The sequence below is a fragment of the Homo sapiens genome, chromosome 2 (genome assembly GCF_000001405.40).
Source record: "Homo sapiens chromosome 2, GRCh38.p14 Primary Assembly".
Classification (NCBI taxonomy): Eukaryota; Metazoa; Chordata; class Mammalia; order Primates; family Hominidae; genus Homo; species Homo sapiens.
The window spans coordinates 211374696-211388322 of record NC_000002.12 but is presented as its reverse complement, the minus strand read 5'-3'; the positions used below and the strand labels follow the sequence as shown (position 1 = coordinate 211388322).

Sequence of the window (13627 nt, the reverse complement as noted above, 5' to 3'; positions counted from 1 at the left end):
AGTTCATTTACTACTTTTCCTTTCCTCTAGGGTTAATCAGAAGAATGTTTATTATTTACTTTTCTAATCCATTGAAAAATTTTGCTTTTTCTGTACAATTTTCCTTTTCAGGGATTGAATTAAAATATTTATTTTCCTCAAAACATATAAATAAGCTTGCTTATGGTCAGAATGCATACAATTGTGCTGCTTAGGAAGCTTCACTGTTGTGCACTTTTTCCCCTTTGGTTCATACGACCCATGTGGCTTTTCTTTTTCGTTTCTTTTTTTAATTTTTTCATTCATATTGCCTCTTATTATATCCATCATTCCATTTTTCTTTCCTATTAGAGTGAAATTGGACACAGCCCTCCTCCTGCCTACACCCCCATGTCAGGAGTAAGTATTTCACAATCAACCTTCATCTTTTAGGATTTTCGGTCTTTGCTTACCATGTTTCCTCTCTCGTCTCTGCATAATTTCCTCATTTTGCCTTTGCCAACAGTGAGTTAAGAATTTGGTGTACATCGTGTAGCTGCCTTTGTAGATGTGTTTTTATCTCAGCTGATAATCCGAAATTGAGATATCATGCATCAACAGTAGCTTTCAATTTTTATCTGAAGGATTTACCTGGGCACATAAATTATGCTTCTGGATGTGGAGGTGATCTTTACTTCCCTGATTATTGGTCATGTACTAAAAAGTCAGAATTATAGTGATGATCCTCTAGTTAGGTACTAGAGCCTCAAATTCATAATAACCACAGAATTTTCGAAGGGAATAAAGACATAGGATTATTCAAAATATATCCATGTACTTCTATTCTTAATGACAACTGTCTATAATTAATGACACTTGCATTTATCATAAAAATTCACTTTGAAATTTGTATTAAATATAGGCACTTGTGGGAAAAGGGCATCAAATACATTTTATTAGAATATGTTTCAGTTGGTTAATAAAACTAGAATGTGTATTTCAAAATTATTTTCTGATGATTTATCTTTTAAGAAAAGTGGAAATTTTAGGTGTTTATAGTTTGTAACTCCATTAGCCACTAGGGGAAAAAAAACCAGTAAATACTATGACTATTCTCTGAAAGACTGGCTTTGATATCCTTGTGGCTATTAACATTCATTTTTAAACTATTTCTAACAACGCCTTCTCTCCACATATGTTTCTCTTATTAACAGAACCAGTTTGTATACCGAGATGGAGGTTTTGCTGCTGAACAAGGAGTGTCTGTGCCCTACAGAGCCCCAACTAGCACAATTCCAGAAGCTCCTGTGGCACAGGGTGCTACTGCTGAGATTTTTGATGACTCCTGCTGTAATGGCACCCTACGCAAGCCAGTGGCACCCCATGTCCAAGAGGACAGTAGCACCCAGAGGTACAGTGCTGACCCCACCGTGTTTGCCCCAGAACGGAGCCCACGAGGAGAGCTGGATGAGGAAGGTTACATGACTCCTATGCGAGACAAACCCAAACAAGGTATGAACTGATTATTCAGAAACGATCGCCATTCGAAGTTCACTTCCATCAAGATAAACAAAGTACAGAATAGAAATTGCCAGATAGCTGACCAGCACAACATTTGTGATCCAGTAAAGGCCTAGGCTACTGCTACTTGTAGTATGGTCCCTGAATCAGCAGCATCCACATTATTTATTATTATTTATATAAATCAGAATCTCAGGCAGGCCCCGTCTGAATAGGAATCTGGATTTTAACAAGATCCCCAGGCTATCTGCATACAGCAATCAGTCTTGAGAAGCACTATTCTAAACATATTTTGTTGAAATATTTGAATGAAGTAGCATACTACAAAGTGTCAGGACCATAGCTTTATTGGACTTAATTGCGGAGATCAGAAAGACTGGTATTGTTGGCAAAAGTGCCTGATGCTTTTGATGGCACTAATAAAAGATTTGTTTGACTCATTTAAATGATGACATTTAAACAACCTAGTTTATTATAGGAAAATATTATGTTCTTATATGACGTTTTTCAAAAATTAAAGGTTTGACCCTGTATATACTTACAAGCATACCACCAAGATTTGAAAATAATAATCTGTGGTTTTACAAAGCATAACAATAATTTTGTAAAGTTAGTAGTAGAAATGTTAAGCACCCAAATCAAATAATGCTTCAATTTTGCAACAAAACAGCCTTTCTTCTTCTATGCTAACAGTATCACAACAGAGAAGATAGATGATTGTTATTAAAAAATGATGATCATGTCTCTCGCAGTCTTTAGTGTCAACAGTAAACTACATTTTAAGACTCTGAGAAGGGCCTGGTATATGGTTATGTTCTCTCCTTTAAAGTAAAATTTAGAGATCTCTAATTGTAAATAACCTTTTAAAATATATCTGTCTAGATAAAATTTTTACATATCTAAAACTTCTATACATATAAAAATGTAATGAAGAGTTTGGATGCTCATAGTAGCCTAGTAATGACACAAATGTAGACGTTGTGAAGACTTGGCAGATTCACCCCAAAGAAGAATCTTTTCTGGGGAGATTTTCACTCCAACCGTAAAGTTATTGGACAGCTATATAAGTTTGCATGAGGACAATATATAAGTAGATTGCATTGAGGAAAGGTAAGGTGAAGAGAAAAGCAAGTCACCCTATAGAGTCACACTGTATTCTCAGATTTTATCTCTGAACACTAAGCTCCGTTTCTATAAAAGGTTGCTATAGTCTAACCTCGTACTCAGAGAGTACAGAATTTTAGTGTAGACATTCCTATTCTTTCAATTAAGAAGTTTAAGGAATCTGGTAAGAGAGACCAAATTCTGCATTCCTTATAAATGTTTTCATACACTTGTCAAATTAAAACTTGTTACTAAGCATAAAGTTCACCCAACTCCTGCAGGGGCAATAATAAAAAACAGTGCAGTAGAATAAGAAGATTATGCAAGAGGAGTTAGAAGACCTGAATTCTATCCCAACACTAATTGTATCCTGCACACATCATTTAATCTCATTTTTCTGTCTACAAAGCTGGAAAAATAAGTCTTGTACTTCTTTTTCACAGAATTGGGAGGATGAAATGATAGTGTCTTGTAAAGGCCTATATATGATAGTGGGATATTCATTACTGCCCTTTAAGTTGAATAAATGATGCTAAATACTTACCTATTCTGTATATATATATTTGGAGAAAAATAATCCTCACTTAATAGGATTTTTCTCTCTACTTATTGGGCTAAGGATAAAAGACAGAAAGTTTGTTTCAGAATGGCCTCTCAACAAAGAATTGTGCCCTCTTCATGCCTTGAATTCAAAATAGGAATAGCTTAGGGCTTTGTGTATATAGTAAAAGAGAGGACTGTCAGAGGACTTACAATACATGCGTGTTTATGTCTATGTGCAGTCTATATTATAGACATAGATGTGGAATTAAGCTTCAGGAGAATGGTGATAATTATTAGCACCTTTTAGGCCAATACCTATACTAGATGGATTTATTAGATTGATCCGTACAAAATAGGCACTAATTGACTGGTTTCAATATACAAAATTTATTTTATTTTATATAATTCAAGCTGATAGTTTGCTACTTTGTGATTATGATTGGTCAATGGAAATATTATAATTATACTTTACTATTAAGTAGAAGTATATGTAATGTCAAGCAGGTCAACTAGAGGCATGTTAGCTATCTGTTAGATTTGCTTTTTTAGTTGAATTTTTTTCCTTTGATGCTTTCTTTTCCATGTGTAAAACCTTTTTCAGAAGCATCTCCAATTAAATCCTTGTTACCAGTATAGGCAATCATAGCAAACCATAGAGACTAAAAAACATGATTTCTTCACTCCATCTATTCATCTTGGCATGGAACTCAGCTATAGATTCTTGTTTTTTCAATATCCTTTATAGAAGTTAAGTTGTCTGTATATTTAAAGACTATTTAATCCTAATAGGTAGTCTTATTTCCTAATATAAATAACTTTTAGAAAACAAAAACATTGAAACAACCAGCCCCATATGCAGAAGAGACAAATGCAATTAGAAAGAAAGAAAAATTTAGGAGATAGAAATTCTGATTCTGGCCTCGTTGGCTTCTTGTTTTATTATAAACATTTTTGACCCACTTACTCTTTTTTTCATAAGACAATGGTGATCCACAAATACTTGTTGTGAGAAATCATGAAAACAAATCTGTGGGTTTTTTTGTTCTAGACAAAGAAGCTAACCATTATGTATAACCTTGGTCTGATTAATATTTTCCAGAAACTAGAGGTTAGCTGATATTTTTTTATTCCTTTAGAATACCTGAATCCAGTGGAGGAGAACCCTTTTGTTTCTCGGAGAAAAAATGGAGACCTTCAAGCATTGGATAATCCCGAATATCACAATGCATCCAATGGTCCACCCAAGGCCGAGGATGAGTATGTGAATGAGCCACTGTACCTCAACACCTTTGCCAACACCTTGGGAAAAGCTGAGTACCTGAAGAACAACATACTGTCAATGCCAGAGAAGGCCAAGAAAGCGTTTGACAACCCTGACTACTGGAACCACAGCCTGCCACCTCGGAGCACCCTTCAGCACCCAGACTACCTGCAGGAGTACAGCACAAAATATTTTTATAAACAGAATGGGCGGATCCGGCCTATTGTGGCAGAGAATCCTGAATACCTCTCTGAGTTCTCCCTGAAGCCAGGCACTGTGCTGCCGCCTCCACCTTACAGACACCGGAATACTGTGGTGTAAGCTCAGTTGTGGTTTTTTAGGTGGAGAGACACACCTGCTCCAATTTCCCCACCCCCCTCTCTTTCTCTGGTGGTCTTCCTTCTACCCCAAGGCCAGTAGTTTTGACACTTCCCAGTGGAAGATACAGAGATGCAATGATAGTTATGTGCTTACCTAACTTGAACATTAGAGGGAAAGACTGAAAGAGAAAGATAGGAGGAACCACAATGTTTCTTCATTTCTCTGCATGGGTTGGTCAGGAGAATGAAACAGCTAGAGAAGGACCAGAAAATGTAAGGCAATGCTGCCTACTATCAAACTAGCTGTCACTTTTTTTCTTTTTCTTTTTCTTTCTTTGTTTCTTTCTTCCTCTTCTTTTTTTTTTTTTTTTTTAAAGCAGATGGTTGAAACACCCATGCTATCTGTTCCTATCTGCAGGAACTGATGTGTGCATATTTAGCATCCCTGGAAATCATAATAAAGTTTCCATTAGAACAAAAGAATAACATTTTCTATAACATATGATGGTGTCTGAAATTGAGAATCCAGTTTCTTTCCCCAGCAGTTTCTGTCCTAGCAAGTAAGAATGGCCAACTCAACTTTCATAATTTAAAAATCTCCATTAAAGTTATAACTAGTAATTATGTTTTCAACACTTTTTGGTTTTTTTCATTTTGTTTTGCTCTGACCGATTCCTTTATATTTGCTCCCCTATTTTTGGCTTTAATTTCTAATTGCAAAGATGTTTACATCAAAGCTTCTTCACAGAATTTAAGCAAGAAATATTTTAATATAGTGAAATGGCCACTACTTTAAGTATACAATCTTTAAAATAAGAAAGGGAGGCTAATATTTTTCATGCTATCAAATTATCTTCACCCTCATCCTTTACATTTTTCAACATTTTTTTTTCTCCATAAATGACACTACTTGATAGGCCGTTGGTTGTCTGAAGAGTAGAAGGGAAACTAAGAGACAGTTCTCTGTGGTTCAGGAAAACTACTGATACTTTCAGGGGTGGCCCAATGAGGGAATCCATTGAACTGGAAGAAACACACTGGATTGGGTATGTCTACCTGGCAGATACTCAGAAATGTAGTTTGCACTTAAGCTGTAATTTTATTTGTTCTTTTTCTGAACTCCATTTTGGATTTTGAATCAAGCAATATGGAAGCAACCAGCAAATTAACTAATTTAAGTACATTTTTAAAAAAAGAGCTAAGATAAAGACTGTGGAAATGCCAAACCAAGCAAATTAGGAACCTTGCAACGGTATCCAGGGACTATGATGAGAGGCCAGCACATTATCTTCATATGTCACCTTTGCTACGCAAGGAAATTTGTTCAGTTCGTATACTTCGTAAGAAGGAATGCGAGTAAGGATTGGCTTGAATTCCATGGAATTTCTAGTATGAGACTATTTATATGAAGTAGAAGGTAACTCTTTGCACATAAATTGGTATAATAAAAAGAAAAACACAAACATTCAAAGCTTAGGGATAGGTCCTTGGGTCAAAAGTTGTAAATAAATGTGAAACATCTTCTCATGCAATTATTTTATTATCCAACACACTAATCTTTTGATACTTTATATAATTCCCTTTCTTCATATACTGCATCCAGTACTAGAACCATCATTATTATGTATCATTTTGAAAGAATACCTGATGAGATGAAGGATGAGAACAAATGACAGAGATGAGTCTCCAAGTAAAGGGGGCCTCACATCAATAATTAGGAAACTTAGATATAAGTCGCCCTTTTCTGAAAATTCTACCCCAAGTCATTTAGATTTTTAAAAAATATTTCTAATGTTAAAATATTGGGACCAAATTAGAATCAATAGTATAAGATTAATTAATTAGAGTAAAAATATCTATTAAGGCAGAGAAAGTTTAGAGAAAAAAATCCAAAGAAATTTGTGTTTCTTCCTATTCTGAACAAGTAAATCCATCCATCCATCCATCCAAACCTCCTTTATCTAACTGTGTCTACTAAAAGCACCATGTTTTGTGGGGAACACTCAGATAAATGGAATATCATCCTCAACTTCAAAATTCTATGATCTAGGAGATTTAATTAAAATGACATTTTAATTTTTCTATGCGTTCCAACAATCAGATTGCATAGTCTCTTTTGTGAATAGCTGTCATATAATCAGTTGTACTGTAAGATATCTCCTTTAAACTCATTTGGGATATAAGTTAAACATCCTTCAAATTGTTGATGTTGACAAACAGGATAATTTCAATAATATTATTCAAACATAAACTGGTCTAGGAGAATATTGCATCACTGACTAATTAGCCTATCTAGAGTCTAACTTCACCATTAAACCAAAAGCAGATGGTGGTCCTTGGCCAAGAATATTGGAGACATTGGAGTTGGTTTTTTTCTAAGCTATAAGAAGTGAGGCGAGCTGAAAAAGTATGGTAGAGCAGGAGAAGGGTTTGTGAGATTCCTTCTAGTGAAGTTCACCCTCAAACTTTTCAGGGGTAAAGACACAGAGTGATTCAGGGGCCACAATCTAATAGCTCAGGGCTCTCCTATCCATTCAGAGAAGTCTCTAGGAAAAGGGATCTCATATCAGTACTTATGAAAAATTGAATATAAGCCTCCCTTTCTAAATAAATCTGCATCGAGTCATCACAGCCCTCTTTTTGGATACTATACCTTGATTTTTTTTTTCTGATTTACAATATGCATATGGTTTCTACTGGGCTATAGAAAGCAGAATCACTCATTTTGGAGAAGGAAAAAATGAATAGTTAAAACAAACTTTTAACTGTTAAGGTAACAGAAATGTATTTAGTGAATGTCTCTTTCCTCCTAAGAACACAAGACTTCTACATGTTGGGTAATACCTAGAGATGCATGTAGGAATAATCCAAAATGACCCAAATGCTTTATAATAGCACCACTTTATAATTCTTTTGAATGATTTCTGTAGTATATAATTGACTTCAGTTGTTTGAGTGTTTTTTGTTTTATTTTTGTCCCCCCTGGGAAAACATATTTCAGCATGTATAAGAGGGAGAAAAAAAGTTTCATTCCTTCCAGAGAATAACTTATTTAGTCCAGTAGGGTAGAATTTTAAAATGTCAGTTAAAGTCTTCAAAGTGCTTGGGGGGATATCAGATTCCAGAGGCCAATTGTAGCAATTGAAATTTGCAGAATCAATTATGTAAATCTGAGACAAATTAGTATTAAAATTACACGGAGTATATTTTTTAAATCACCCAACTTTGTAGATTATACCTATTTTGGGCAGGTATGGAAAAATTTTGCAGTTAAATGATTGCCTAAAGAAAGTGGTAAACAGGTGAGGAAAGATGGCCTCTGATCTAGGATAGATCCAGAACCACAAAGCATCTGCACCACAAAAGGTGTTAGACTACCAAGCAGCTCCTGGTTTTCTGCATAGTATTAGTAGCACAGCTTAGGATGAGAATCCTTTCTCCAGTAACATTCTTAAAATAGCATGAAAAACAACGCAAAACTCAAATTTCTATTAAAACACACAAACTAAAATCAAGTGATTCTTTTTTGTAGATTAGGGAGAAGGACTGAATATCTAATTTAAGAGAAGGAATAGTGTTTAAGTGTTATAGTGTGTGAGCTAATACCTTCTAAAGGAAAGACATGGCATGAAGATTGTGCATACTTACAATGCTAAGGAAAAATCAAGAAAAGGACTGTGTGAGGCTCTGCTACTAGATGAAGTTGGAAGGACTATTAATGTGCTTCTTGAAGTATCAAAAATGAAAAGAAAATTAAAATTGTTTAAGCCTGACAGGGAAGGATGTAAATACAAGTTTTTCTAGAGCTCTCTAACCTTTATTTCAAAACTGGAATTATTCATCCATCTGTAATTGTTGATAATTTAACTAGTATATGTAGTTCATAAGGTAATAGAAAAGGTGATCATGAAAGCATGTATATAACTGGACAGAACCACGATAATGCTATAAGATGTAGATTTAGTTAGGTTATCAGATGTTAAATGATTTTAATATTATTAAATAAATCAAACTAGAAAACTAACCACAAGTATAATGTAACAAAGTTAAATGCAGGATATAAAAATGTAGGATGGATTTTGCATAGTAAAAAGATAAGTTTGCCATTTAAAATTGTTGTTTGTTGGGTTTAGCTGAAAGTAGGCATATATGGTTCCACTTGGGAAAACTTGCTTTAAAGCATTACAATGAACAATTTTTTCTCATTCTCTTATTCCTTTATCACTTTTTAAATGTAAAGAAAATTGTATTTATTTATTTTTTTAAATAAACACCACCTTGCAGAATTTAATAGGCAAACATGTTACATATGACTAAGTAAGGGTCTTCAAGATGAAGTAAAGAAAATGTAAATGTTCTATTACCTTATGCAGAGACAAAAAAAAAAAGGAGTGGTGTCATTTAGCTAGCAAACAAACAAAATACAGTTAATTGGTGATATGTCCTTTCTTTTCTCACTATGCCCTCTTGCCTCCAAAAATGACAACAAAGAATCACAATTTTTCTGATAAATAAATGCTAAACCAAGCGTTTCAAACTATTGCATTGCCATTCTTTTGGACTTTAGTTATTAGAATGATGATTGTTATAGGGCAAATGAGAAATCCATGTGCATCAGCTTCTAGTTGTTAAAAAAACCAGATAAATTAACTTCTACTGTATACTGTGGGCAGAGGATCCTAGAGCTGATCCTACAACATCAGCTTCTAGTTGTTAAAAAAAAAAAAAGAAACAGATAAATTAACTTCTACTGTATATACTGTGGGCAGAGGATCTTACTGTGCCTCTGTTTGTGTACATGGACTTCGGTGTGTATCAGTTTGAAGGACAGCCTTGCCCCATGTAAACATATAAATGCAGATTGGTATCGCCTGGTTGCTATTTGCTTAAGAACAAATATTATACAGATGAGATCAGGCATAATTTTAAAAGATCATTATCAGTGGAGACCTCATTATTACTGATATTACAATGGGGCCAGTTTTTATACTTCTGGGTAGAATTAATAAAATTTTTCTGATCCCAGAGATCTGAGTTCTCTCTGCAGTTGGAAACAAGAAGCTGTTGTGGGCATTGTGTCGGGCCAGGGGCCCTTGTGTTTGTGTGGGCAAATATCTTTTAGCAGTGTGAGCTGCTTTTTTCTTTTCATTAAAAGTCTCTCTAAAATAATAGAAATTTCAGATACTCGGTTCAAGTCTCACTGATTTTGTAGAGGTCCAAAAATGTAGGATCTGTCACTTTTGCAGGCCCCTGCCTCACCTAATTCCTGGCCAGGTGACATTTTGGGCAGAAGTAAATGCTTCTATAGTCACAAGCTAAAATGACTCTAAGCCCCAATTTCACGGGGGGTATTCACATGCTTCCTCTGGAAAATACTCTTTGACAGTCAGCTTTGCAAGTAAGTGATTACCTTGTTAGGAATCAAAGAAAAATGTATTTCTCTCTGACCTTTAGAGGAAAATAGAATCCTTCCCTTTTTTGCCCATTGACACAACTGGCACTGCTCTCTTCCCTTTCTACCACCCTGGTTCAAAGTAGTCCCCCGATGCTGTCCTGTTCCTTTCTTAAGCCATAGTGGATCTCTGAGATCCTACACCCCACTTTGTGAAACACTGACTTCATCTTTGCCCTCGAATGCCTGATTTTTTCATAAGAGATTCTAGCAATTTGGACACTGTTTAAGTGAACTATCAAACTACCGCATAGAGAATATTTAAGCTATTAAAATTATGGTTTCCCATGAAGATCAATTCTCTGTGTCCTTCCCTATAGGAATTTGAGACGAGTTAGCCCTGTGATGAATCTTGAAACTCACATATGTCCACATACACTTGGTAGAACTTCGATTTAATCTTTACATAAAAGCTGTACATATAACCAAGAAGTTATTTTTGCCAGTAAATTAACTTATTTGCTTTATTCATCTTATTTGGTTCCTAATCGTAAATATTTTGTAGCTGCTGTAAATTTTTTTCTCCCAAATGAGGAGTCTTATTATCATAAAGGTAAAGGCTATTCAGCTTTGATAACCACCTGCAATTCTTTTTTGGATCATTCATCCATCTAACAAATACATAATGAGGACAGTTCATGTTAATGAAAATCCATGTTGTTTAATAGAATGCCATCCTTTACCTACTTTTGCTCTTTATGGACGTTTTTCTTTTCATGCTCTAGTGAGCTTTCCCTATATCATGAGAAGTGGTTATATTTGTGCAAATATACAAATATAGGAAAACAAAGATTCATACCTGTAGGCAATAGTCTAACTTGTCCAAACCACTTTGCCTTTACTGCTATTTTTATCCCCAATGCGTAGATATTTCCCCCAGGCCTATAGCCTTTGTGAAGGAAAGCAAATCATACCTCCTGTATATTGACACGAATCTGGTTTTCAAATGTCATTTCCAGATTTTTTAGTTAATTGGGGGTTGTCCTTTTCCCTTAATGTGAGAGTCATTTTCCTGTATATTTCTGGATCTCTCAGGGGCTGGGAGGGGGGAGTGAGGGGACTACAACCATAGCACTCCAAGAACCCTTTTGGGATTACTCCAGTAATCAACTACGAAAGTTATTTTCTAAATGTAGATATGTAAGGTGTTCTTTTAAAGTAAGGTACTTTGAAATATGTAGCATAAACTGGTACTGCTGTTAAATGGGTCGATTATTAAACGGAGCAGCTGTGTGAGGGCAGCTAACTTTGAATGCCTGTCTCCCTGGCTGGTGTGTCTCCTTCTCATGTTGAGAGCACCAGGGATTGCGTGGCTGCATGCTGAAACCGCATTTTCCCATGGTGTATGACTAGTTCATCTCTTTCTTGAGCACCATTACAAGAAGATCAAATGAAAATGAGATCAATGTGGAAGACAATTCATAGCACAAAAAAAGTCATCTTAAATCTACTCTCAAACATTCATCTTATACATGCATCAAAGTAATTTACTGACATCAGTTTGGGTGAGAGAGGGAGTCACTTTACTGAAAAGGCAGAGGCTTAAGGTGTATACATTTGTACTCACTTCCTTATTTTCTTAACTTGTAAGCAGAAAACAAGCCCTCTCTCTTGTGAAGTATCTTCAAAGGATTGGGGTGCAAAAATACCTTGCTGGTAAGCCATCAATGTTTTATTTAAATCCCTGCATTCAAAGTTAGCTGCCTTTTTGAAATAAACAAACAAAAAATACTACTGTATGTTTGAAAATGTGAATAGTATTTTTATAGCTTGTTAAAGACATGGCTAGTTGCATTTGTAAATAAGTATAATGTTGCTTTGATTTTCTTTTGTGGACATCTTTATTTGGAACATAATTGTCTTTAGGGTTGATTTGTATATAAGTAATTGGCCTGTGATTGTTTCTTTTTTGGTTGGAAGTTATCATTTTGACATTACTTGTGATTCTGTGTTCAGCACTATTGTGATGTGTTCAACCTCTGCACTCGCTTACACAATAGGATATGCCAATTGTGTGTGGTGTAATGTTATTTTGATTTTTTTCCATGTTATTGATGAAGGATCATGCACCTAACACATACTAACTTTTTTAATGTTAGGCATATTTTTAGTATACTTTCTCTTATTCTTTCTTCTCCTCCAACCTTTTACCCATCCTCCTTCCTTTCCCTCATTCCTGTTGTTATTTGAGAATGAGGGAGAAACAGTATTTTACATTTATGTAATTAGGCTTTTCCGTTAGTTCTCAAGGATCCTCTTTTGGCTCTTGGGAAAGAATTGTACCTGTACAAGGCAATTATAGAATGCGAACTGCTTTGCCTCATTCCATACTGATCATCCCAGCTGAACAATTTGAAAACTGTTCTGCCTTTTTGTTACATGAATCTGTCAGAAATATATTTTTAATTTAATATAAATGAAATTCAATAAAATATGAAACAAACGTTCTCTTTTGTGTCAGAAATTTGTTATTAGATAAGCCAACTAGCAGAGAGGAAGATTTGTTCTAGGTTTAATAATGTGAAGATATAAAAATGGGCTTATTTTGCCCATATTTATGCAGCTCATTAGTTATTCCTCAGAACTCTTTGGTGTTTGGGATGTGATATGTTCCATATGTTTTTACCATCCACTGCATATGCCCATTGATGTGTACAGACTTACTCATCTGTGCATGCTATGCTTAATTAACTCTGGTTGGTTTGTTTCTCTGAGAATAAAAAAATATATAAAATATTTTGTAGGTTGCATCCAAACGACATTAATATTTTTATATACTTTTTTTCTTTCTGCCCTCATTGCAGTTTATAAAATGGATCCTGGCAATCCTTGGCTATAAAGAATATCAGATGTTACTACTGTCCTTGAGGTGGGGGAGGGAGAATAAGACCTTAAATAGTCAATCAGCTGACTAGTGACTTATGACAAGCCCACATAACAGTGTGAGAGTGACTTCAGAGACATTGGTGACATGAACAAGATCCTCTCTCAACATTTTCTTATTATATAACTTTTTGATTTTAAACATCATTGATTACTCCATGCCTCCAAAGTGTAAGAATTTCAAAATTCCAATAACTTCTGATTAGAGATTCTGTTATTCTTTGAAACTACTGTGGTTATTTGACTGTATAGAATGATGACTGAGTCAGTGGACAAAAAATATATTTTCAGCCTAATATATTGGAGTAAATTTTCTTAAACCTGTTCAATTGTGGAGCTTCAAAGATCTTGTTAATAACACCTGCTATTTGCATGGACCTGCACACATACCCTCCCTTATATATTATGGCCCTTTCATCTGAAATCATTGTGATTTCATAGTGTTCAGGGTAAGATATGTCAGGGCACTATGCATTTTAAACAACTATAAACTGAGAAGGGAGGAGAAACAACTTGTGTTCCTAATGCTTTAAGGTACAATTGAAATTTCCAGTGGCACCATGCTGCTAGCTTATAGCAGTTATA

The 13627-nt window shown here is 35.0% G+C and overlaps 1 protein-coding gene across 11 annotated transcripts in view; it reads left to right on the top strand.

The window, feature by feature from the left end:
• ERBB4 (erb-b2 receptor tyrosine kinase 4) overlaps positions 1-12606 on the top strand; it is a 1163086-nt gene extending 1150480 nt beyond the window's left edge. For 7 of the 11 annotated variants that reach the window (NM_005235.3, NM_001439005.1, XM_006712364.4 and 4 more), the window contains 3 exons: positions 331-378; positions 1173-1470; positions 4263-12606. In NM_005235.3, the coding sequence (NP_005226.1) occupies positions 331-378; positions 1173-1470; positions 4263-4708 (792 nt within the window). In that variant the 3' untranslated portion in view covers positions 4709-12606. The remainder of the gene's footprint in view (positions 1-330; positions 379-1172; positions 1471-4262) is intronic. The other 4 variants (NM_001042599.2, NM_001439006.1, XM_017003581.3 and 1 more) reach the window with 1 other exon arrangement.